We start from the raw sequence: 26,654 nt of genomic DNA, 5'->3' as shown, positions 1-26,654 counted from the left end.
AGCTAAGCAGTTTCTATATTCCTGACCCACAGAAACATGAGGGTAATACCTATGAGATAATACATGTTATTTTAAGCCATGAAGTTTTGGGATACTTTGTTATGTATTAGTGATAGATAACTAATACAAGGGAGAAACTAAGGGAGCTACGTTTAGCTTTAGCATACGTCAAGTGGTGATCTTCCTGGGGACAGAGTTTCATCTGAAGCAAAGACTCAACAGCTAAAAGCTTCCCATTTCTTACCTTGGAAGACTGAGCCCCAAAGAGGAGGATGTTGTGCAGTGAGTTCTGCGGTTGCACTGCTGTTCATACTCAAGAGGGCTGTGGGAATCAGAACTTTGGGAAGCCGAGGCGGGCAGATCACGAGGTCAGGAGATCGAGACCATCCTGGCTAACACGGTGAAACCCCGTCTCTGCTAAAAATACAAAAAATTAGCTGGGTGTGGTGGCGGGTGCCTGTAGTCCCAGCTACTCAGGAGGCTGAGGCAGGAGAATGGCGTGAACCCAGGAGGTGGAGCTTGCAGTGAGCCAAGATTGCGCTACTGCACTCTAGCCTGGGCAACAGAGCAAGACTCCGTTTCAAGCAAAAAAAAAAAAAAGAGGGCTGTGGGATTGTGACTGGTCTTGGCTACTTTGCATTCAGGGTCACACACAGTGGGGGCAGTGTCTGGACTAGCACCCAGTCTCTGGCTTCTATTCCATGGCCTTACCAAACGCCCAGACTCTCAAATGTGTTCACTGAAGGAGCAGGAAACCTTCCTTGTGCCCCTGCATCTGTGGACTTGGAGGTGCAGAGACCCTAAATCAGGTTTCAGTTTTTCTTTGTTCTTCCTCACTTCATATCCATCTCCTCTTCCTGTCTACCCGCCCTGCTGGGTTGAAGCTCCAGCACCAGATGCAAAACAACAGCCTAACAAGGACTATTTAACCCACTCCCATGGTTCTGTAAGATCAAATCTCTACAATAGATCTCTTATCCTATGAAGGTCTCCGAAAAGCTTATGGAAAATGCATATTATGAAGAAACTATGCCTGCATTTCCAAATTCTTTTTGCACCAAAATAAACTTGAACTAATTTGTTATAACATGTTGAACGGGATCTAGTTTGAGGCAATAAGAAGGATAAGACATCACTTAGAAAAAAACCCTATCAAAGCCACATGAATCCTGCTAAAATTGAAGCAAGAATACACATCAAATTTATGGTGAAACTTGGATGGGTGAATGGTGAAATCATTGAGGCTTTATGAAAAGTTTATGGAGCCAATGCCCTAAAGAAATCAGCAATTTACAAATGGATAGCTTTTTTTTTTTTTTTTTTTTTTTTTTTTTGAGACAGGGTCTCACTCTGTCACCTAGGCTGGAGTGCAGTGGTGCAATCTTGGCTCACTGCAAACTCCGCCTCCTGGGTTCAAGCAATTCTCATGCCTCAGCTTCCTGAGTAGCTAGGACCACGCCCAGCTAATTTTTGTATTTTCAGTAGAGACGAGGTTTCATTATGTTGCCCAGGCTGGTCTCAAACTCCTGAGCTCAAAGCGATCAACCCACCTCAGCCTCCCAAAGTGCTGGGATTACAGGTGAGAGCCACTGTGCCCAGCCATGGATAACTTGTTTTAAGAACAAGAGAGAGCAGGGGCAAGACTGAGTGTGTACCGTTATTTATCCCAAGTGAGTGCCATTTGCTTCTGAGCTTGTTACCTTGAGTATTGAAAAGAACACATTTTCCAGATTAAAAGCTCCATAGTAAGTACCTAAGGCTGCATTGGGCTGTTCCAGTAAAGATACTACAACAGTCAACGCACTGTGTTAAATTTCTGGAGGTCCACCCTCATCTGCCGTAATCCAGCTCGTTTTACAAACGGGAGAGTGGAAATGGATGGAGTAAGCCGTTCCACTCTGTATTTCCTACTGAATGAAACAAAAACCCTGGACACAGTGAATGAGAAAGCTCTCTGAGGGTTCTGAAAACAATAGTGGCAGGGACATTGGGAAGGAAGTCATAATTTAAAGTATGAATGATCTATAAGTGAGTTTCCTGGGTTTTTATTCCTTTTATATTTTTCAGAATTTATCTGCATCACAAACTTGAGCTTTAAACAAATAAAAATTCATATCTTCTTCCTGCTTTATAATGGCATGTCTTGACCTTTGATACCTATCAAATCATCCCTCAGGCAGACAATGAGAATTCGGATCCTCTTCCTAACTTCATTCAAGTTGTTGTGTAAACCAATATCTGTTCCTCTTCATTGCCCAGTAGTATTCTGTGGTATAGATGTACTGAAGTTTGTTTATTCACCTAATGAAAGGCATTTGGGTTGTTTCCAGTTTTGGGATATTATGAACAAATTTGCTATAAACATTAAGGAACACGGCCAGGCGCATTGGCTCACGCTTGTAATCCCAGCACTTTAGGAGGCCAAGGTGGGTAGATCACTTGAGGTCAGGAGTTTAAGACCAGCCTGGCCAACATAGTGAAACCCTGTCTCTACTAAAAATACAGAAGAAGTAGCTGGCTATGGTCACGTGCATCTGTAATTCCAGCTACTCGGGAGGCTGAGGCATGAGAATCACTTGAACCTGGGAGGCGGAGGTTGCAGTGAGCCAAGATCATGCCACTGCACTCTAGCCTGGGCAACAGAATGAGACTCTGACACACACACGCAAAACCAAATGCCCCCCCCCCGCCCCCCGCCGCCAAAAAAAAATCCCCAAACATGAAGGAACAGGTTTTGTTGTGAGCATATTTCATTCCTCTAGCCTAAAAATCTAGAAGTAGGGTTGCTGGGTCATATGTTAAGTGTATGTTTAACATTTTTTTCCAAGTATACATTGTGATTAATTTTTATGAAGTTGAAGAAATGGCTAAAATAATGTATGTTACTAGAAATCAAAACAGGGGCTGCATATGGTAGAGTGAGTGGGTATTGGTTAAAACGTTACAAGGAGTTTTTTTTTGTTTTCTTTGTGACAGAGTCTCACTGTGTCACCCAGGCTGGAGTGCAGTGGTGCAATCTCAGCTCACTGCAGCGTCTGCCTCCCAGGTTCAAGTGATTCTTGTGCCTCAGCCTCCCGAGTAGCTGGGACTACAGGTGTTTGCCACCATGCTTGGCTAATTTTTGTATTTTTAGCAGTGATGGGGTTTTGCCATGTTGGCCAGGCTGGTCTTGAACTCCTGACCTCAAGTGACCTGCCCACCTCGGCCTCCCAAAGCGCTGGGACTGCAAGCATGCGCCACAGCACCTGGCCACAAGGAAATATTTTATGTGTTAATAGACATGATCTATATATTGATAAGGCTGTGGTATACTATAAGGAATATAAAGTTTAAAACTCTATAAAGCCATGCATTTAACATGTGCACATTTTACTACATTTTAATTTTATATAGTTACAAAAACAGTGAGAAAGGAAAAGAAGAATGATCATTAGCAGTAATGGACAAAACATATTTTATTTATAAATTTTCTTCTTTCCTTTCCTTTCCTTTTTTTTTTTTTTTTTTTGAGACAAAGTTTCACTGTTGTCACCCAGGCTGGAGTGCAATGGTGTGATTTCAGCTCACTGCAACTGAGGAATTCCGCTTCCTGAGTTCAAGCGATTCTTCTGCCTCAGCCTCCCGAGTAGCTGGGATTACAGGTGCCCACCACCACGCCTGGCTAATTTTTGTATTTTTAGTAAAGACGTGATTTCACCATGTTGGCCAGGCTGGTCTCGAACTCCTGACCTCAGGTGATCCACCCGCCTTGGCCTCCCAAAATGCTGGGATTACAGGCATGAGCCACTGCGCCTGACCTAAATTTTCTTTTCTAACTGACCATAAAAGAGACCAATCCAGGCTTCCAGTTAATAGCTGGGTTCCATTTGGAATGCTGGGGTGTTCTTTGGTTTTTGCTATGCTATGGCTGTGGGATCCATGGTTGCTGGGCAGAGGCCTATGGTGGCTGCAGTGCCATGCAGGGGCTGTGATCTTCTGCGGAGCTGGGCCCTAGGCTGACCCTCGGGAAGCTGGGCGAGGTGATAGTGGAGCTGCTGCCACATGACCTGAGTCCATGACTCATTTTCCATGGCCTCCAAGGGGAGATATTGGTGTGTCTGCCTCTTATCGGCTTAACATTTTAAGAAACTACCATACCGTCTTCCAGAGGGGCCATACTGTTTTTCATTCCCACCAGGAATGTATGAGAGTTTCACTGGCTCTGTGTTTTCACCATCACTCAGAATTGTCAGGTTTCTTTTTCTTTTTTTGGGTCATCCAATTAGGCATGTAGTAGTGTCCCAAATTTAGGGAGTTTTAAAATATGTTAGGTTTTAACTGGTTCCCAAAACCATCATTGATCATTTTTATTCTGTGTCTCTTCCTATCACAAGTTAAGTTAGACTCATTTCCCAGTTGCTTGCTTTTTAAAAATGGACAGATGTGTAGGATCATTTTTGATTCCTTGAACACTTAACTTGATAGCTTATTCTTGTTTATTACTTTCATAAGCAATATGAAAACACTGCTGATCTGAATCCTTTACTCTCAGCCTTCTTCCCATCTCCATTGAGAACTCTTGTCTTCTAATATCCTGTAGGAAAAAAACCTGGGGCCAACCTGGTTTTGCTTCCTTTGCAGGTAACCTCTGCCTTGGCCTCCCAAAGTGTTGGAATTATAGGCATGAGCCACTGCACCTGACCAAGAACTTCATCTCATGCTTAGCAATCCAGCTAGGATGCTTTCTATTACAGAAGTCTGAAACTGATAGTCACATATTGTATCCAGCCCATCTTTAAAGCTGGCTCAGCCAACAGTGTTTTTAATCTCCATATATTTGTAAATTTACCAAATTTCCTTCTGTTATTAATTTCTAATTTCATTCCATTGTGGTCAGATAACACACTTTGTATGATTGCCATCTTTTTAGAGGTATTGAAACTGTTTTATGACCTAACATATGTTCTATTCTGATAGGAGAACGCTCCATGTGTGCTTGGCAAGAATGTACATTCTGCTATTGTTGGAAAAAATGTTCTATAGATGTCTGTTAGCTCTAGGTGGTTTTGTAGACCTGTTCAAATCTTCCATTTCCTGTTGACCCTCTGTCTAGTTGTTCTATTGTTGAAAATTGTGTGTTTAAGTTTCTTGCTATTTTTGTTGAATTTTTAATTTTTTCCTTCAATTTTGACAATTTTGGTTTCATGTATTTTGGGGCTCTCTTGTTAGTTGCATACATGTTTATACTTGTTATATCTTCTTGAGGGATTGACCCCTTTATCGTTATAAATGTTCTTTGTATCACGTAACCGTGTTTGTCATAAAGTCTATTTTATCTGATGTTAGTATAGCCGCTCCAGCCTTCTTTGGTCACTGCATGGCATACCTTTTTTTTCATTCTTTTACTTTCAATCTGTTTTTATCTTTGACACTAAAATGTGTCTCTTGTAGAAAGAATATAACTGGATTATGTTTTTAAAATCCATTCTGCCAATCTCTGGTTTCAATTGGCAAGTTTAATCCATTTACATTTAATTAAATTACTGATAGAAAAGAATAGGATTTACTCATAGCATTTTGCTATTTGTTTTTTATATGTTTTATGTCTTATATGTAGCTCTATGCCTCAATTATTACTTCTTGTTATCTAAATAGATATTTTCTAGTGTCCCATTTAATTCTCTTGTCATTTCTTTCACTATATATTTTTAGTTATTTTCTCAATAGTTGCCCTAGGAATTATAATTAACGTAGAACAGTCTATTTCAATTAATGTGAATTTAATTTCAATAGTATATAGGAATTTTGTTCCTGTATACCTCTGTCACCCCTTTTCTTTATGCTGGTATTGCCATACAAATTACATATTTATACATTTGTATGCTCATTGACACATCTAAGTATTGCTTTATATAGTTGTCTTTTAGTCAGGTGAACAAAAAGAGTTACAAACAAAAAATACATTTATATTGTCTTTTATATTTAACTATGTAGTTATTGGTACTGATGTTCTTTACTTCCTCCTTTAGATTTAAATTGTTGACTAGTACACTTTCATTTCAGCCTGAAGGACTTCCTTTAAGCCATGTTTACTAGTGTCAGATTCTCTCAGTTTTTGTTGATGTAGGAATCTCTTAATTTTTCCTTCATTTTTGAATATTAGTTTTTCTGGATGGAGAATTCTTTGTTGGCAGTCTTTTTTTTTCTTTCAGAACTTTGAATGTTATTCAACTGCCTTCTTAACACCGTTGTTTCTGATAAGAAATCAACTGTTAATCTTATTGAGGGTTTAATGTACTTGGTGAGTCACTTCTCTCTTGCTGCTTTTAAGATTCTTTCTGTCTTTGTCTCTTGACAATTTGATTACTATATGTCTAAATGTAGATCTCTTTGAATTTATCCTACTTGGATTTTGTTGAACTTCTTGGATGTGTAGATTAATGTTTTTCATAAAATTTGCGGAAATTTCAGCTACTCTTTCTTTATTTCTTTCTTTTTGTTTGGAGACAGAGTCTCGCTCTGTCACTCAGGCTGGAATACAGTGATGTGATCTTGGCTCACTGCATCCTCTGCCTCCTGGGTCCAAGTTATTCTCATGCCTCAACCTCCCTAGTAGCTGGGACTACAGGTATGCACCACCATGCCTGGCTATTTTTTTAGTAGAGGCAAGGTTTCACCATGTTGGCCAGGCTGGTCTTGAATGCCTGACCTCACATGATCCACCCACACGGCCTCCCAAAGTTCTGGGATTACAGGTGTGAACCGCCATACCTGGCCCAGTAATTTTTTTTCAAATGTTCTCCCTCCATCCCCATCTCTATCTCCTCTTGTTCTGGAATTCCTATGATATGTATGTTAGCATGCTTATGGTGGCCACAGCCTTTTGACACTCTGTTTTTATTTTCTTCATTCTATTTTTTAATTTCTGTTCCTCAGACTAGATAACCCCAATTGATTAACCTTCAAGTTTTCTGATTCTCACTATGTTGGAGAGACACCTGCACTCTCAAATTTGTCACAGCACTGTTCATAATAGCCAAAATTTAGAAGCAACCTAAGTTTCCATCAACAGATGAATGGATATTATTCACAATGGTACTTATTCACAATGGAGTACTATTCATCCATAAAAAGGATGAGATCCTGTCATTTGCAAAAGCATGGATGAAACTAAAGGTCATTATGCTAAGTGAAGTAAGCCAGGAACAGAAAGACAAACATTGTGTATTCTCACTGATTTGTGGGATCTAAAAATCAAAACAAATTCATGGACATAGAGAGCAGCAGGATGGTTACCAGAGGCTAGGAAGGGTAATGCAAGGATGGGGGCAGGTGGGGATGGTTAATGAGGACCAAAAAATAGTTCAAAAGAATGAATAAGACCCAGCATTTGATAGCATAACAGGTTGACGATAGTCAATAATAATTTAATTATACATTTAAAAATAACTAAAAGAGTATAATTAGATTGTTTGTAACACAAAGGATAAATCCTTGAGGGGATGGATACCCCATTTTATATGATGTGGTTATTAAGCATTGTGTGCCTGTATTAAAACATTCCATGGCTGGGCTTGGTGGCTCATGCCTGTAATCCCATTACTTTGGGAGGCTGAGGTGGGCGGACCACCTGAGGTCAGCTGTTTGAGAACAGCCTGGCCAACATGGTGAAACCTCGTCTCTACTAAAAATGCAAAAAATTAGCCAGGTGTGGTGGCGCATACCTATAGTCCTAGCTACTAGGGAGGCTGAAGCAGGAGAATTGCTTGAACCTGGGATGTGGAGGTTGCAGTGAACTGAGACTGTGCCACTGCACTCCAACGTGGGTGACAGAGAGAGACTCCATATCAAAAAAACAAAAAACAAAAAACCAAAACTGATTTCATGTACCATATATATACATATAAATATATATATGTGTGTGTGTGTGTGTGTAGTATATATATGTATATACTATATATACTACATGTAGACATATAGTACCTACTATGTACCTACAAAAATTAAAATAAAAAATTAAAACAAGTTTTCTGGGCCGGGCGCAGTGGCTCACACCTGTAATCCCAGCACTCTGGGAGGCCGAGGCAGGCAGATCACGAGGTCAGGAGATCGGGACCATCCTGGCTAACATGGTGAAACCCCCTCTCTACTAAAAAAAAAATACAACAAAATTAGCCGGGCTTGATGGCGGGCGCCTGTAGTCCCAGCTACTTGGTAGGCTGAGGCAGGAGCATGGCATGAACCCGGGAGGCGGAGCTTGCAGTGAGCCAAGATCGCACCACTGCACTCCAGCCTGGGCGACAGAGTGAGACTCCATCTCAAAAAAAAAAAAAAAAAAAGTTTTCTGTTTATTCAGCTTGCTAAAATCTGCTGGTTAGCCTCTCTAGTGAATTTTTTATTTGTTATTATGCTTCTAAACTTCAGTTTTTTATTTGGTTCTTTAAAACAATTTCTGTAATTTTACTGATATTCTTTATTTGTGAGACATCATTCTGATATTTTCCTTTAGTTCTAAGCCATGGTTTCTTAGACATATGTTCTTTGAACACATTTTAAATTTGCTGATTTAAAGTCTTTTTCTAGTAAGTTCAACGTCTGAGATTCTTCAGAGATAGCTTCTATGGCTGTCATACTTGGGAAGTCATACTTCTTTCTTTGCGTATCTCATTTTTTTATTGTTGTTGAACACTGGTATTTTAAATAATATAACATGGCAGTTTCAGAAATTGGATTCTCCCTCCACTCCAGAGTTTTTGGTTGTTACTTGTTCTTGTAGTTGTTTGTTTACTGATTTTTCTGAACAAATTCTGTAAAGTCTGTATTCTTTGTCATGTGTGGCTACTGCTGTGTCTGCTTAGTTAGCTTACTGGTCAGCTAATGATTGTGTTGGGAAAACCAGTCTCATGCATGCAGCCTTTCGACTCCCACTCAGTCATATAAGAACAGGTCTTGGGCTTGGAACACTTCCTTACCAAGAGATAAAGGGCTCACGTGGCCTGTTCCAGGCCCTGCATGGGAATATATTTCCCTGTTTTAGATTCAATGTGTGCCCCTTTGTTCTGCTTAAGTGTATATGTCAATGGCCCTCAGATATGCCCCCAGCTTTTGGTATTTCTAACTCCACAGGAGAGGGGTCAGAGTCCATCCGTGGCATGAGAGGGGTGTCCATAGCCAATTGCCTTGCACTGGCTATTGGGGGGATCTGCTGGCATGGGGGACAAATGCATACGATTGAAGCTGATTTTGCTTTGTCTCTTCTCTACATAAGTAAAGTGTTATATTTTCCTTGGTGACTCCCATACCAAGATAAAATGGGCAGAAGTGTTTGGAGCCCTCTCCTAGGGTTGGTAACCTGTGCATGGTGTTCCTCTCCCCTGGGACTGGTCACTGGTGCAGGACGTTCAGCTTAACAGTTTGACATAGTGTGCAGGGTTGCCAAGGAAATAGACCATCACATGGTGGAAAGGCAAGGGCTTGTCAGCCCCATTGCCCAAGGTGGTACCAGCTCCTCTGAGGGGTCATAGACTGACTGAGGTGCTCGCTGCCCAGGGATAAATGGAACATAATGTCAACTCCCATGGTGTCCCAGGGACCACAGATGATGTCTGGGGGGAATGGGGGGCCCTGTGCAGGGAATCCTGCCTGGTCCAGGTTGCTTGCAGGCCTCAAGTAAGGCCTGTTTCCAAAAAGTGCTGAACAACAGAAGGCATTGCTGAAAACTAGACTATTGAAATGAGGTCATTCTCTGAAGAGGATATCTGACAATAAAAGGGAAAATGTGGACAAAAGCCAGAAAGTCTAATACAGCCCGGATGGTGTGTTTGTTTGATAAAGGGATATTGCAGACTCAAATGTCTCAGGTTGAATGGCACAGTTAGGAATGGGGCCAAGGCTCCTGGCTTCCCACTGGAGACCAATGATCTTATACCCCTGTCAAGATAAATGGGAAAAGAAAGAGATTCAGACTTTTCTGGGGCTCGTGGATACTCGTTCCCATATGACAATATTTCTGGATTTCCTTAGGGGAAAAATTAAACTGATGTCATTGGATGGTTTGGGGGTTAACATGGTGATCCATGGTGCTTACCTGCTTGTGGTACTTATGTGCTTGCGAGTGAGGCTCTTTGAGCCATTTTGAGTGCTGGTGACCATGGTTCCTTGTGTCGAGTGCATTACGGGCATTGATATTTTGGCTGCTTGTAGCACAGAACATCACCACTGCCTGAGGGGATATTCCCCCTCACAGCTGAGAATTTGAGCCGTAACAGTGAGGTGTGTCCACTCTACCTGCCACTTAAATTCTCCAAGCCTCAGTAGGTTATTCCACAAATACAGTACTGCATACCAAGTGGAGAAGAGGATATTACTCTGTGAATTTGGGATGCGCTTCTGTAGGAATGTTACAAACTACCCTGTCAATGTAACAGCTCAGTCTGGCTGATTGAAAAGCCTCCAGGGTATGGTGGCTGATGGTAGACGGAATGCAGGCTGAATGTTGGGGTTTGCCCTGGGCCCATGAGGTGTCAGATGTCATCACTGTCACTGAGGCAGTGGGAACCCTTACTGGAGATTAGCGTGCTGTTATTAACTTGGTTAGTGCTTTTACTCAATCCCCTTGTGACCAATTTGCATTCACAAGGAACTGCCTGCATAATACTTTCACTATTCTTCCTCAGGGATACCTCAATTCCCCTGCCATATGCCACCAGTGGGTGGGGCTTGACCCTCAACAAGCCCAAGTCCTCATAGAAGATTTAGTCATCCATTGCATAAATGATATCCTGATAGTAGGGCCTACTGAAAAACAGGCCATTGATACAATAACTGGTGTTGGCTGGACTATAAATCCAGATAAAGTCCAGGACTCAGCACAATAAGTGCATGTCCCAGGGGTCATTTGTATAGGAAACCAAAAAAGTATCCCCAGTACAATTGTTGGCCCTAGTGACATCCACTAATAAACAGGAGGCCCATTAGCTGATAGGCCTATTTGTATACAGGAGACAGCATATGCCCTGTCTGGGTGCTCTTTTGGCCTTCCTCGTCAAGGTGACCCACAAAACCACCAGTTTTGAATGGGGCCCCTTGCAGCAGCAGGACTTGGAAGTAGTTCAACAAGTCATGGCTCAGGTACTGCCTTTGGGACCTTTGGAACCTGCTAGCTCAATGGGACTCCGTGCGTCCATGACCGCCAAGCATGCTGATTGGAATCTGTGGCAACAGGAAACTGCCACTGGCGTGCACCAGCCTCTTGGCTATTGGACACATGACTTGCCTGTGGTGGCCACCAGATACACCCCCTTTGAAGGGCAACTCCTTGCTTGCTATTGGGCACTAGAGGAGACTGAGCATTTTATGGCAGGAGTGCCACCTGTGATGCTGTAACCTGTACTGGGGTGCTTACAAATCCCACCAATAAAACCGGACAAGCTCAACAGAGCTCAATCATTAAATGGAAATGGTACATCCAAGTCAACTAGGACAAGTAGACTCCATGAACAAATAGCCAGCTTCCCAGAAGCACCAAGCAACCCACAGGGAGATGCTCTGAACCCTCCTGTGGCTACCTGGGACCCAAGATTCAAAGATGTGTCTACTGACTATATGACCTGGTTTACTGATGGCTCTGCAAAACTAAAGGCAAATGGGGTCCACTGGGCTGCAGCTGCCCCTCAGCCAGCAGATGGCCATCTTTTGGCTGGGATTGGAATTGGACATTCTGCCTAATGAGCTGAATTATGTGCAGTGATGACAGCTGTGGGGGCCATTCTACCACCATATCTTGTTACATTTTCACTGACTCAAGGGCCATTGCCAACAGCCTAGCCATCTGGTCAGGAGAATGGTAACTGAGTGACTGAACCATCACAGAATCCCCTGTGTGGGAACAAAAACTATGACAGCAGCTTGCTGCCTGGAAGGAGACAAATGTTTGTCACTCCTGTGGATGATCATAGCAAAGGACCTTTTAAAATGGAATGTGGACAGAAGTCTTGTGCCAGTTAAGCTTGTGCCCCACAGCCAGCAACAATCGACAACTGAAAGTCCACCGCTATGGTTTGGATATCATTTGTTTGATCGCCAGAAGTGATGGTGTTGGGAGGTGGGGCCCAGTGGGAGGTGTTTGGGTCATGGGGGTGGATCTCTCACTGATGACTTAGTGTCATTCTCCTGGTAGTGATGGAGTTCTTGCTCTCACAAGACTGGATTGGTTCTGGGAGGATGTATTAGCACCCACGGGAGAGGGTTGTTATAAAGTCAGGACACCCCTTGAGTTTGGCCCTTCTCAGCATGTGCCTGCTTCCTCTATGGCCTTCTCTGCCAAGTTGTGTCACCACACAAAAGACCTCTCCAGAAGCTGAGCAGATGCTGGCAGCGTGCTTCTTGTACAGCCTGCAGAACTGTGAGCCAGATAAACCTCTTTTCTTTAGAAAGTACCCAGCCTCAGGTATTTCCTTATAGCAACACAAAATGGACTAAGACATCCGCCTCAGATGCAAGAACGAGCATCCTGGAAGATGCCGAGACTAGGGACACAGTACAACCTTGTGATTCTTGCTAAGGGGCACAAATTGTTCAAAGAGAGGAATTGGGATACATTAACTGAGGGCTAGAAACTGCCCTGGTGTGGCAGATTGACCACAACAGGCCTCTGGCCTCCTGCCATGGGCACTCATGTCCTCATTGCCATTGACACCTACTCAGGCTGTGGTATTACCATTCTAGACCACCATGTGAACTCTGAAACTACCATAGATGCTCTTAAAAAGAACTATGTCATGTTTTTGGATACCTGTGGGACTTTACTCTGACCAAAGAATATATTTTACTGCCCAAGCAACACAACAATGAGCTCAAACTCATGGAATGTGAGTTTGCACTCATATCACCTGCGGGCCAATGGAGCCAATGAATGATGGAGCGGTTAACTCAAGTAGCAACTGAAGAAAGGACATTAAGGTGGTCTGCTAATGGGCTGGTACCCTTGCCTGATTAGGGCAGGATGCACAGTAAATACTGCAGCACATGCTGGGAAACACTGAACTTGGTGGGGCTTGAGGTGGACATGGACTGGACAGTGCTTGATTAGGCTGTGCCTGTGAAATTCCAATCTCCGTGTTCTCAACCATTCTTTTTTTCTTTTTCCCTAAGGAGTGCACGTCTCTGGGGTAGTTTGTGGTTCAGGCTGTCATAATACCCCAGATGGGGCCCCCTAACTCTAATCTGGTGGTGATGCTTCCCCTGGGCACCTCTCTTTTATGGGACTCCACAGGGGTAGTGGATGAGACCAAAGAGTTCCAGGATGTTAGGGTCCCATTAGTGGCTCCAGGGACATCTGATCCTTCTACTCAGGTGGGCAACATTATCAGACCTGTTAAATTTGTGCAGTACATGATCTCCCTTCCTGGACTGGACAATTGAGGCTGAAAGTTCTGGGTCAAGCAGGAAGGGCAATGGGTGTCCACAGAGGTAGTCTCAGGATGGGGACACACAGCCTGGGTTGTAATACCTGGACAGCCAGCCAGCACCCCGATTAATAGACAGACACACCTCCAGCCACAAAGTATGAGAAGAGGGTAGAGGATGGGGAAACAAATCTTTCCCCTTTTTGTTTCATTAGAGTACCTAGTAGTGCCTAGATTGACAACACACTGGTGAAGATTAGCAGTGGCAGCCGTAGGTGGGGATTTGAAACATTGTGGACCTGTCACCCGTGTATTTGGAGCTTTCCCTCCAGGCATGAATAGTCCACATGTGACATATTGCCAATCTGATGGGGGCCCCAGTAGGAGAGTGACCCTCAGTGCGGGTTGAGATCCACAGGTACTGAATACCCTGTTCACAAAGCTTACCTTAAACATAGGGATATGTTCTAATGGGCTTTTCTTAGAGATTAGCAAGTTGGGCAGCATCCCATCTAAAGATTTAGAAAGGCTCCTGTGAGCTCCTGTGGGCTGAGCAGAGGTGGGTTTTATAGGTATAAAAGAAGAAGAAACAGGGGACAAAAAATAGATTGATCATCTCAAAGTTACTTTCCTTATAGGGTTAAGGAAGAGGGAACTTTCTTACCCTCTGGCTCAGGTAGACTTGGCCCCCTCTGGTTGGTTGGAAAACTGGCCTGTTACTAAAGTTTAGTTTGATTACATGATCCCATGCCTGAGTGGCTCCATTCTGGTTTGGTCTGGTCTGTTGGGCCTAGTGCAGGAGCTCAGTTCAAAACAGTGGCCTTTTCTAATTTTTATTTAACACAATTCTGCCTTAATCTTTACTCCTTACATAAACACAGCTCCCTGTAAGCACATGCCCTCCTAGAGCCCTAGGAGTATGTTGGAGATTTTCAAAGCTCATATAGATATCTTATTCCCCAGCTTTTCCTTGTCAGCTTTTTGGTTAGTTTTTTGTTTGCCCCAAATATTACATCCCCTCAGGCAGCTGTGGTGTTAAATAGTTGCCTCTGGTTATTTTTTGACAAATGTATTTGGGGAAAAGGTTGTTCAGACCAGGGGAGCTCTGCGTCAGGTCAAGTAATGACAATCATGAGAATGGGTCTTCCTGGGAAACCAATGGGCCGGTCAAACAATGACAATTCTCTGCGAATGAGTTGCTCTAACTCCCTCCTCACCTCTCCAGTGTCTACTGGGCTGCTGGTTCTCACAAAGATTGTGGGCTTTTCGTTTTCGAGTTGGCTGTGGAGCGGGAGTATGGGGAGATGGGAGAGGTTAAAATGCCACAAAGCTCTCTGTTCTTGCTGAGACTCCATAATTTGTATTGAATAAACTCTCCCCAGATTGCTACAAGCTTTGGTTAATTTCCAGAGCTCTGAAAATGTTAGTTAAGACCATTTCTGTCAGTTTTCTCATTGCTTTTACGTAGGAAAAAATTTTCAGAGACCTTTCCTTTGCCACTTTCACTGACATAATCCCAGAGAGTTTTAAAAATGTGTTTCCACTCTTTAAATAGCATAAATGTTTTTGACTAGCCTGGCCACCTGGCAGGATGTCTTGTATCCAGGGGAATTCTAGATTAGCTAATTAGAAATTGAACTTGTCAGAGAGGGGAGGACCCTTCTGTGGGCTATAGGAAGAAGTCCAGGGGAGCAGGGGGAAAATCATATCCAGAGATGGCCAGGGGATGGGTGTGAGGCAGGAACACGGTTCAGTACAATGGCCAGAGGGCAGCAGGCCCAGCACTGATGGTTCTAGATGTGTGTCCCTGGGCTCCATCCATCTCAGTTCTTGGGGCCTCAGACACAGGGAACTCTCAGTGCTGATCCAGTGCCTGCCCTGAGAGGACCTGAAGGTAGCTTATTCTTGGAGCCTCTCTAGCACGAGCAGGCCCCAGTTGCTGGCTTCCTATCTGGAAGGTCCTTCTGCATTTCCGGTCAGTGCCTAGGTGGACATTTCCAAGGCTCATTCAGCTGCTTGCTGGGAGTTAATTACTCATCTGAGCTCAGAGAACTTTTGTGGGTGTGGAATATGCTTTCTTTCTTAAATTCTCCCTGAAGACACATGATGGTGTCACACAACAAATCTCGAAGTCTGAGCTATGCAACTGTCCTTCTATGATGCCATGTTGATTGGAGGCAACAGTAGGTGGAGATAGTGGCAGGTCTGGACTTGATGATTGATGTCTGACAGGGGTTGGGGAATGGGTAGGTCCCCAGTTTAGAATCAGAGATTTGAGAAACATGAACTGGAATCTGCTCATTCTCACGAGCTCAACAAGGTCTCCAAAGAGCAAGGGACATGGTTTTCTGTAAAGTCTGGGATGTTTCCAGTCTTTCATTGGCCCTTTTGTCTCCCTGTGGCCTTGGGCAAGTCATTCACACAACCCCAAGGCCTCAGTATCTCATCTGTGTAATGAAAGGGTTGGACTAGTCCCTAAAGACCTCAACAATGAGAGTGTATGTATTTTTTATTTGAGGGGGGGTCAGAGTTCTTCAGTCTGGGTAGCCCCATTCTTTTTCCTTCTCACAGCCAGTATTTCATAAATCTTTTCTTTTCTTTCTTTTTCTTTCTTTTTTCTTTTTTTTTGAGACAGGGTCTTGCTTTGTCACCCAGACTGGAGTGCAGTGGCGTGAACATGGCTTATTTCACCCTTGACCTCCATGGCTCAAGCGATCGTCCTGCCGCAACCTCTCAAGTAGCTGGGACTACAGTCACATGTCACCATACCTGGCTAATTTTTCTTTCTCTCTATATATATATCTTTTTTTTTTTTTTTGTAGAGATGAGATCTCCCTATGTTGCCCAGGCTGATCTCAAACTCCTGAGCTCAAGCCACTCACCCACTTCGGCTTCCCAAAGTGCTAGGATTACAGGCATGAGCCACTGAGCCTGGCCTCATAAATCTTATCTGCATACACAGACTCAACTTCCTTACCTCCCCTCCTCTTCTCAGTACCTGAAACTCAGGCTTCTTCCTCCAACAATATGACTCCAACCCAGGATATCAAGAAGCTGCTGCTTACTTACAACTCTAGTTGTATCTTTCTCAAACCCCCAGCAGTGAACACTTTGCACCAGTTTGTCCTTTTCATTTCGTCCTTGGTCATTTTTTGTCCTCCTCTTACTTAGAGAATTGACAAGAGGTCAGTATGACTGCATGCAAGGAAGCAAAAGATGGGCGGTAGGTGACTTGTGTACCATCAGCTTCCTGGATGGATCCTCCGGGTGTCCCAGGCATTTCCACACAGAGTAGCCACAGCTAAGGGCATACTTTGTCTGTCGGAATCAGTTCATCCTCCCAGATCCCCAGGTACCCTTGGCTCCTCAGCCTGACACTGGACACGCACCTCACCTACGCCCTTGTCCACATCCTTCCAGATCTACCTCCTGAACATCTCTTAAATCTGCCATTTTCTTCTTTTCTTTCCAACTTTTATTTTAGGTTCAAGGGGTACATGTTACCTGGGTAAACTGTTTGTTGTACAGATAATTGTGTCATCCAGATAATCAGCATAGTACCCATAGGTAGTTTTTCAGTCCCCACTCTCCTCCCACCTTCTACCCTCAGATAGGTCTGGTGTGTATTACTTCCTTCTTTGTGTCCATGTGTACTCAATGTTTAGCTCTCACTTGTAAGTGAGAACACGAGAGACTTGATTTTCTGTTCCTTCATTGATTCACTTAGGATAATTGCCTCCAGCTGCATCCATGTTGCTGCAAAGGCCATGATCTCATTTTTTAACAACTGTGTAGTATTCCATGGTGTATATGTACCATATTTTCTTTATCCAGTCCATCACTGATGGGCATCTAGGTTGATTCTATGTCTTTGCTATTGTGAATGGTGCTGCAATGAATGTGTGTGTGTCTTTTTGGTAGAAGGATTTATATTCCTTTGGGTATACACCCAGTAATGGGATTGCCAGGTCGAATGGTAGTTCTGTTTTAAGTTCTTTAAAAAATCTCCTGACTGCTTTCCACAGTGGCTGAGCTAATTTACATTCCCACCAGCAGTATAAGCATTCCTTTTCTCTGCAACCTCGTTGGCACCTGCTATTTTTTGACCTTTTAATAATAGCTGTTCTGACTGGTGTGAGATGACATTTTACTGGGTGTTTCTAAAAATTAAATTTAATTTTTTTTTTGATAGGGTCTCACTTTGTCACCCAGACTGGAATGCAGTGGCATGATCTTGCCTCACTGCAACCTCCACATCCTGGGCTTAAACAATTCTCTCACCTCAGCCTCTCGAGTAGCTGGGACCACAGGCACACACCACCACCCCTGGCTAATTTTTGTATTTTTGGTAGAGATAGGGTTTTGCCATGTCAGTCAGGCTGGTCTTGAACTTCTGCCCTTAACTGATCTGCCTGTCTTGGCCTTCCAAAGTGCTGGGATTACAGACGGGAGTCACGGCACCTGGCCTTCATTGTAGTTCTAATTTGCATTTCCCTAACACAAATCTGCCATTTTCATTCGTGGTGCGGCAAACTTGTATGTCATTAACTGTACCTGGAGTATTATATCTACCCTGAATGCCTTATTCCCCCTTTCTAAGGACACCTGGGAAAGCCTTCTGAAATCCACACACACTTGAACATCTCCCTGACCTGCTCAAGACTATTCAGATCTACAAAGTAAGTGCCAAACTCTATGCTATGGGCCCAACCACCCAGGCCAGGGCTGTTTCCAACCCAGGAGCCCTCAAGTAATGGTGAAGGATGACAAGGCCCCTGATGCAGAAGAAGAGCCATTTTATTAGGTGAGGCACATGGGATGTTACACACGCCTGGTGGGAAAGGAGAGGGGGCAGGTTCCTCGGAGAGAAGGCAACTGTGTCATCTTCCAGCACATGGGCCAGCCATCTGTGAGCACTGGGAAGCTGGGCCAGAGGAAATGGATTGAGCAGCAAGAAATAGTTCTGTTGGGGGAAGACCCTAATCAGGATGGAGACTCAAGGTCAGTGAGCGTTACTGATATTGACTCATCATCAAACTCATGCCCCAGAGGGACAGGAGGAGGCTGAGACCCTGGGCAAGCCATCAGGCCTGGAGTCAGGGCTCTGTGAGCATGTGTTTGAGTGAGTGTGTCTGTGTATCCACGTGTACTTATGTGTGGTGAGTCCACTGATGTGTGCATATGTGTGAGGGTGCTGGGTGAGAGTGTGTGTGTCTGTGTGTGGTGAGTCCACCAATGTGTGCATGTGTGTGAGTGTGCTGGTGTGAGAGTGTGTGCATCTGTATCAGTGGCCATGTGTCTGGGCATTTGTGTGTGTGTTTCTCTTGGTAGCTGTGTTGCTGTGCTGCCTGCATCCTTCCACCTCTGTCAGCTTTTCTGTGGATTTCTCTGTGCATCCCTGTGTGTACCTCTGTAGATGTTTGTCTCTTTCTTTGGATGTCATTGTCCCAAGCTCCCGTCTGCCTTCTACCAGGAGAAGAACAGCCAGCCCCCAAAACCCTGGGGTGTGGGGAAGGGCACTTACCAGCTCAGCAGAGGCCAGCCCCTTCCTGGAAGGCTTAGACCTTGATGACAAACTGTAGTCCGTGGATCAGCATGTCTAAACAAACAAACAAGCAATAAAAAAACAGACGACAGTTATGATCTCAACGTGAAGGAGTCCATATTCCTCAAGGTGGGGGGCCAGGGAATGGAGGCCTCTGGAGATCCGACTGTGTTCAGCATGCTTGGAGGAAGCCAGGCCTCCTTCTACCAACCAGCCCAGCTGTCCTCAGTGTCAGGGCTGAGGCAGGAGACACGGTGTCTATCTCAAAATTATCTGGATTATTCGGGGGAAAATGAAGCCCAAAATAGAGAGAGTTGAGGCCAGAGGGACCTAGTATCCTAGGGTGTGCAGGGAAAAAACTCCTTGGGGGAAGTTGCTGCTCCTGCAGAGAGGGACAGAGGGCTTGAAAGCAGGTACTTACTAACAATGTCATGCACCAGGGTGATGTCCAAGCCTCTGAGAACCTCATTGACCAGAGGGCACACCTGGCCAGGGGCAGAGAGGAGAGTTAGGCAGAGTGGCACCCTGGAGCAGCAGAATCCCTAGTGGGGGTTCTCTGGGGAAATTTCCTGTCATTTTTCTGTGTGAAAGTGATTCTAAGCAATCCCACAGATCAATGGTCACACATGCCTGAGGAGAAACTGGAGGCATGAGGGATGTTGTGAAGGGCCCCAAATCACACAACAAGCCCAGTGTTCACCCTGTGACATCACATCTGATTCTAAGTGGAGTGGAGTGCCCTGGTTATAGGAGACACCCAAGCATAGGTTGAAAGACTGTCTGTGGCCATAGAAGGCTGGACAGGGAACTTCTCCAATTTCTCAGAACAGGGGCCAATCCATTTCAGCTTCAGTGTGGACAAGCAGGGCCTGGCCTAGAGCAGAGACTCATCAATGCATTTGGAAAGATGTAAAGAAGAAACATGGACAGATGGATCAATGGACAAATAGATTGATGAATGGAAGTTACTTATCAAATTGAGGGACTCGGACCCACTTAGCTCAGGGCTTTGTTTTAGTGCAAGAAGCTCTAAAACCTGAGGATCAGGGGATCCCCACCTTGCCTACTTACGTTGCCCTGAACCAACTCAGGCAGGACTTTATTCAAGATCCCTGTGAGGCTGTCCAGAAGACCTTGAATGGGGAGGGGGCCAAGTCTGAAAGAGAAAAGTCATGGGTGATGCAGGGACCTGGAGATGGTGTGGAGAAGTCTCCAGAGGGGGCCACTGTGAACCCCACAGTCTCAACACTCAGTCACTAAAGCCGAGCCTTGTCTATCTACACCCACGTGCAGGCCAACAGCAAGGGTCTTATGTAAAGGGAGTTACATTTGTGTACAGCAGTGAACACACAGGTATGTGTAGGATAAACACATGGTTCTCAGAAAAAGCAGGTGCCAATAAGGCTTTGCAGAGTCCATAAATGAATGGATACTACTTAGTATGTAGTTGTCATTATGATCCAATGAGATGACACATGTGAAGCCCAATGTATGTGTTCATTAAAAGTTAACCACGTGGGCAACTTTTGCGTAATAGGTTTGACACAGTCTCCCCATGTGACAGGTAACTGAAATAAATAACCTAGTTAGGATCCACGTCTATTTTACCCCTTACTGGGACAAAGCACTTTCACACCTGTTATCTTGGTAGGTTCTATCAATAACTCCAGTGCAGTTCCATATTGCAGATAAGTAAGCTTAGAACTAAATTGGAGAAGCACTACCCAGGTTCACACAGGAAGCCCTCTATCCCCATTCCCCTGTAATATGCAGGGCTTAAACTCCAATTTCTTGTTGCTAGATCCAGCATAAAATTGGTTAGCTTGGTCTAAGAAGGAATAAGTACTACTTTATCTATCTATCTATCTATCTATCTATCTATCTATCTATCTATCATCTATCTATCCATCCATCTATCTATTCATCCTTCTCTCCATCAACCCAACCATCTAACCATCTGTCCATCCATCCATCCATCCATCCATCCATCCATCCATCCATCCATCCATCTTTCCACGCTCCCTCCTTCCCATCCATTTTCCCACCCTTTCAGCCTCTCACTCATCTATTCTCTCATTGTCTCAGCTTTCCAATCATCCATCCGGCATCACACCCTGTCATCTCTGGGCAGGATAAGCTGCTCCTCTGGCCTCACCCATCAAGCAGAGAAATTTGCAGGCTTCCAGGGGAATGGGTGCAGTCACCAAGGACCAGGTGGATCCTCTCCTGCTTATCTCTCACAGCTAAGATTTCTGCAGTGATGTCCAGCTTCACAGCCAGCCTCAACAGACTTGCACCGACCAGGGGCCTGCAAAGGAGACAGCCCCACTGGTATCTAGCTCCACCACATTCCAAGGAAGAGGGTTATTTTCTCCTTGCCAAGAATGCTAGCCTCACCTCACTCCATCTTGCCCACAGTTGTACTTATCTCATTTTCTAGCAGGAGAAACAAAGACTTAAGAGGTCAAGTGAGTTTCCCAAGTGACCCAAGGCCACTTAGCATAGCAGCAAATGAGCTGAAGTTGGAGGCTCAGGTCTGTTAGACTCCAATACCCCCGTTATGGTTAACCATGGTCACCAGGGTCTCCCTCGGTGAGCCATCCTCTCACCCCCTCTTGGGACCCACTCACGTATTCACTTGGAGCTTTATGCCGAGAGGGATGGTGACATAGAGACGGTGGCCATCAGGGCTCTGCACAAGGCCAAGTTCCAGCAGCTGGGGGTCAGTGACCTTTATGCTGTCCAGGGAGTAATATTGGAGGGGGAAACATTAGCTCCTCTAGCTCCAAACCCAGAAACCATCTTTAACCTAACAGTACCCATCCCAGAGGTAGAGCTTCCCACCCAGGATAGGGAGATGGGAGGGGAGTCTTGCAGCCTAAGCCACGTGGGTTCTGAGTCACACACTAGGTCTTTTCCAGCCTCTGCCCTGGAACAGATCTGACACACACACAGGGCCCTTTCCTTATCTCCAGTCTATGAGGTATTCAGGACAACAACTGTGTCTGGATTATATCTGCATCCTGTATGCCAGCTAAGAGCCTTACAAAGAAAGTGGCTACTTCATATTAGTTGACTGGATTGATGGGAAGGTGGGTAGTGGATATGTGGGTACATGGATGGAAGAGTAAGTGATTAGGTAGAAGGATGGATAACTGGATGATGGATTGGTCAGTGGATGAATGGATGATGCAGGTGCAACTGGAAGTAAATCTGCACAAACATTTATGGGTAAGAATCACTCACCCTGTCAGGTGGCCAATCACCAATGTTTATCATGGGAATTGAGGAGCAGGAAGTCAGGGAGAGTGCAGAAAGGGTGGAAGGAAGCCATTCTCCCATTGTCCTATCTTTCCAACCATCCATCCATCATCACACCCTGTTGTCTCCAGGAGAAGCCAGGCCTGTGACCGCACCCATCAAGCAGGGAGGCCATTTGATGGGTGAGGCCATTCACTGAGCCAGCCACTGCGCCAGGTGATTTACACCTTTTCCAGTCCTCACAATACACTTTCTCTGTGGGTTCTATAATCTATATTTTACAGATGGAGAAACCAAGCACAGAGAGACAGGGTGTCCTGTCCCAGGTCATCCAACAAGTACATTTGAAAATCAAAGTCAAGAAGTCTGTCTGTCTCCAAGTCAGGGAGTGAGACCCTGGGTGGGTAGGATTTTGGAAATGGCTTTGATCCAGTCCTATCCAGGAACCAGGCTCTGCCGGCTCACTGGCATCAAGCTTCCATTCTTGCTTTTTGCTTTGCGAGCTCTTGGGTGTCTCATGGGAAACTCCACGTTAGACCTTTCCATGGACATCACACTGTTTTTCATCACATTGATATCATCAAGGTGGGCAGGTTATACTCTCGCTAACATCAAAGGCCGTCTGTGTTCTAAGGGATTTCACAGGTGCAGAGAACAAAATGACCACAGTGTAGTGGGAAGAGCCTTGGCTTTGGAGTTAGGATAGTAGAGTGAGAGCCTTACTCACTTGGCATCACTCTAGCAGCGTGAACACAGGCACCTCTGTGCTTTGGTTTTCCCATTTGCAAACTGGAGATTATTAAATCGACCTCAAAGGGTTGTGGTGAGGATTATAGATGATGCTGGGGCCTCAGGACATGCCTAGAACTGAGGGCATTGCTGGTTTGGGGAGGACGGGTGTCCCTGCCAAACTGGAGATGGGTCTCAGAACTGAGTCCTGGCTCCATCTTCAGGCCGCTCCCTCGCTGCTTCAGGGTCGCTGCTTCAGGGTCACTGCCTGGGGCTGGCAGATCTTCACCTGGGGTTCCCTGGTGGAGATCAAAGCTCTATTTTAGGACAACTCACTCAATGATGTTGTTCAGGCCAGGAATCACTGACGTCACTTTTCCAAGCAGTCCCCCAAGGAGGCCACCAGAAGTACCTCCTCCAGGCTTCAGGATGTCCAGGAGCGGAAGGTTTTCCAGAATGCCCAACAGGCCCCCAGACAGCAGGCCATTGCTGAGGGCTGGAAATGGGTGTAAGGGTCTCTGGGGGTCAGATCTGACAATTCCAGATCCTCAGGCCCCCTCCCCCATCCAGCCCTGTCCCTCCCCACTTTGCAGGGTTGGACACACACACACACACACACACACACACACACACACACACACACACACACACATGCACACATACACCCCTGAAAACTCACCATTTGTCAAGCTTCCTGCAAGACCTGTGGGACTCAAGGGCAGGGCTGGATTCACATTCAAGGGCAGGGTCTGGTCCAGGGGCACGGGCAGGCCTCCAAACTGGGCCATGGTCTGGGCTAACAGCCCGTAGAAGACAATGAGGCCCCCAGTTTGAAACATCTTTGCTCTTAGTATCTGTGGCCAGAATGACAAGTCCAACATGGCATGGGTATCAGAGAGGAATTTATCCACCACCTGCCCTGACACCTGGGGGGTGGGGTTGTTTGCTCCCCAGAACACCAGGGGGTCACTAGTAATAGCTAATACTGCTGAACAATTTCTCTTTGCCAGGCAACAGGCTGACCACTTTACACAATTTCATCTTCATCACAACCCTAAGACATGGGCACCTGTTACCTGCATTGCACAGGTGAGGACCACTGATCAGGGGCCTAAAAAGGAGACAGCCCCACTCCACCACATTCCAAAGAAGAGGGTTTTTTTCCTTCTTGCCAAGAATCCCAGCCTCACCTCACTCCATCTTGCCCACAGTTCACTTGTCTGATTTTCCAGTAGGAGAAACCAAGGCTCACAGAGGTCAAGTGAGTTTGCAGTTGGGAGTTTCAAATATACTCCCATCCCTTCTTGAAACCCACTTGTGTACTACCGAGTGTGGGTAACTTTCCCCAAGGTCACAAGTACACGGTGGACAGAGGATTAGAAGCTAGAGCCAGGTGAACCCTCGGTTAAATTAAGTAACCATCAGATTTATTCTCCAATCGGGCTTGCTTCAATGGTTTGAATCATTGCTGCTCTTCAGACAAAGCAAATGAGAAGGGTTAAACGTGCAAGTGCTGAAGAATTGAACTGTTTTAGATCATCCCTGTTCAGTCCTTTGGCCTGAGCTCAGGCCATGATGGTTGGTGGATGCCCTTGAAAGTCACACAATACAGGGGTCGCATGGCCACAGCCACCATCTCATGTAGACCTTTGTTGGGGAATTCCTGGGGCCATCAAAGTCTTCATTGCATGAGAAGAACCAGGAGACCAAAGAGGGGTAGTGACTTTCCCAAGGTCATACAATAAATTGATGGCAGAGCTGTGGTTGAAGGCAGGTCTCCCAACCCTCCCCTCACCCAACACACAAACATGCATTCTATCATTTTGACACCTTTCTCTTCTCCTTCAAGCTGCCCTGGATGGAATTCCGGTCAACCCCTGAGGTTTGGCTTGCAGACCTCTCACAGGTCTATTTGGCAGCCAGCAGAGTTGTCCAGAGCCAGCACTAGTACCTACAATTTGGAGACAACTGGTGACTTTGTGCAAAATTCCATCTATTGGCTGACTCAGCTAAAGCTCCATCCTTGTGGTGGAAGGCTGGAAATGAAAGGTCTTTGGTCCAAAGAGCCAGTTGTGCCCTTCTTAGGGAGGTAACTTTGACCACAGCCTCTGAATCTCTTTTGGGCAACAGACCCTTTATGAATCCAATGGAAGCTAAAGATCCTAGTCTCAGAAAAAATGCATCAAAATGTATAAAATTGGGTGAAGAATTTTAGGAGGTTTTTGGATCATCTGTATCCACATTGGTAACCTCAAGCTAAAACTTATGCCTTAGAGGCTTTCATTTACGGCATTAATAGTGCCCATTTCTATATCAATGTTACTGGTCTCTTAGGACAGCAGAGCAAATGGCCATCCCCACATCCCTGACATTGGCCAGGTCTGTTTCTCTTGCACAGCCCCCAGTGAGTGATCAAGATCACTCACTGCCCCACAGGGCAGGAGCCTGAGATCCCTGCCGTTAAGGGTAGCAGAGGGGCCACAGAATGGATGGCTCTTACCTGGACTTCTTAGAGGTCTCAGCAGCTGTCCTGGTCTCCTCTCTCTCCCCCACTCACTTCTGCCGAGGAGTCAGCCTCTTTTATAGTATGGGGACGAGGAAGCATGTGTTGGGTGATGGGTTTCTAGATAATTGAGAATTCTGCAATCTGACAGTGTCTTTCAGGGCTCTCCAAAGTAAATAATTGCCAATCACATTAGCAGGTGAGACAGTTAAGCTATTTGGTCAACAAGATAAACAGAGAAAAACCTGAGATGGGATGTTACTCAAGACTTTATGGTTTCCTGAGCGGAGCCAAGGTTGGGGACCCACGCTCCCAAGGTAGCTTGGAGCATTGAAAGGAGCAGCCAGACAGAGCCCAGGAAGGGACCTCAGTCTCATCTCTTGGCCCCTTTCCTCTCCTGCTCTAATTTTTTTGCTCCAGTTGGAGGATTCTTTCTCCTAAAATGTCAAAAGAGTCACACTGCATCCTACATCTGGGGTGCGTCTCCATTCCAGGGCAAGGGTCTCCTGTTTTCAGAGCCCCTATTGCACGTCAGGAGCTCTCTGTCCTCACAAGAACCCTGAGAGGGAGAGGTGACTCCTCCTCTTTTATAGAGGAGGAAACTGAGATCCAGTGGGGACAAGTGCTGAAAGACCCAGAGAGGATGCAGCAGAGTTAGAATGCAACTGACTGGAGAATGAAAACAACAAAAACAACGCCAACAGCAGACACTGGCCGAGCTCCTGCTGTATGCCTGGCCTGCCATGGTGTTCACAGGCAGCATCTCACAAAATCCTCACAACCCTGTACTCCTATTCTATAAGGGGGAAACTGAGGCTGAGTGTGAGGCAAGTTGTCCAGAGATGCAGTGCTTGCCTGGGGTGAGACATCCACATTCAGGTCCTTTCCCCGAATCACTGCACTGAGAGATGAAGGTGCCTCCCAACACTTGCTGGCCATTTTGATTTCCCCACCTGTGAACTTTACACTTTCATGCGTCCCTTTTTATTTTTTAAATTTTCACTTAATTTTTATTTTATTTTATTTTTTGAGACAGTCTTACTCTGTCGCCCAGGCTAGAGTGCAGTGGTGTGATCTCAGCTCATGACAACCTCCACCTCCCGGGTTCAAGTGATTCTCCTGCCTCAGCCTCCTGAGCAGCTGGGACTACAGGCGAGCGCCACCATGCCTGGCAAAGTTTTTGTATTTTTAGTAGAGATGGGGTTTCACCATGTTGGCCAGGCTGTCCTCG

At 45.3% G+C, this 26,654-nt stretch overlaps 1 protein-coding gene and 1 long non-coding RNA gene across 5 annotated transcripts; one reads left to right on the top strand and one right to left on the bottom strand.

Annotated features, from left to right (window-relative positions):
• The first annotated feature begins 3,974 nt into the window (after positions 1–3,974).
• LOC105372593 (uncharacterized) lies at positions 3,975–18,923 on the top strand. 2 transcript variants are annotated; one of them, XR_936683.2, is made up of 3 exons: positions 3,975–4,091; positions 17,986–18,386; positions 18,859–18,923. It is a non-coding gene; the product is annotated as an uncharacterized LOC105372593 (long non-coding RNA). The 2 variants fall into 2 exon arrangements; XR_936682.1 differs by having other exon boundaries at positions 18,802–18,902.
• BPIFA1 (BPI fold containing family A member 1) lies at positions 18,165–25,475 on the bottom strand. 3 transcript variants are annotated; one of them, NM_130852.3, is made up of 9 exons: positions 25,421–25,475; positions 23,600–23,774; positions 23,257–23,416; positions 21,561–21,668; positions 21,086–21,238; positions 20,002–20,086; positions 19,352–19,415; positions 18,910–18,984; positions 18,165–18,364 (listed from the first exon to the last, which is right to left on the bottom strand). In NM_130852.3, the coding sequence occupies exons 2-8, from the start codon at positions 23,757–23,759 to the stop codon at positions 18,944–18,946; spliced, it is 771 nt and encodes a 256-aa protein (NP_570913.1). In that variant the 5' UTR covers positions 23,760–23,774; positions 25,421–25,475; the 3' UTR covers positions 18,165–18,364; positions 18,910–18,943. The 3 variants fall into 3 exon arrangements, with proteins under 3 accessions (NP_570913.1, NP_001230122.1, NP_057667.1); NM_001243193.2 differs by having other exon boundaries at positions 18,165–18,348; NM_016583.4 differs by having other exon boundaries at positions 18,165–18,309.
• Positions 25,476–26,654: the final 1,179 nt, after the last annotated feature.

Source organism: Homo sapiens, chromosome 20 (genome assembly GCF_000001405.40).
Source record: "Homo sapiens chromosome 20, GRCh38.p14 Primary Assembly".
NCBI classification, from domain to species: domain Eukaryota; kingdom Metazoa; phylum Chordata; class Mammalia; order Primates; family Hominidae; genus Homo; species Homo sapiens.
This window is presented reverse-complemented; position numbering and strand designations above follow the sequence as displayed.

Coding starts and splice junctions, on each gene's coding strand:
- BPIFA1 (NM_130852.3), bottom strand. CDS start 23,759: ATGTTTCAAACTGGGGGCCTCATTGTCTTCTACGGGCTGTTAGCCCAG. Junction 21,669..23,256: donor GGCCTGAACAACATCATTGA/GTGAGTTGTCCT, acceptor CTCCCTGGACAG/CATAAAGGTCACTGACCCCC. Junction 20,087..21,085: donor CAAATTTCTCTGCTTGATGG/GTGAGGCCAGAG, acceptor TTTCTCTTTCAG/ACTTGGCCCCCTCCCCATTC.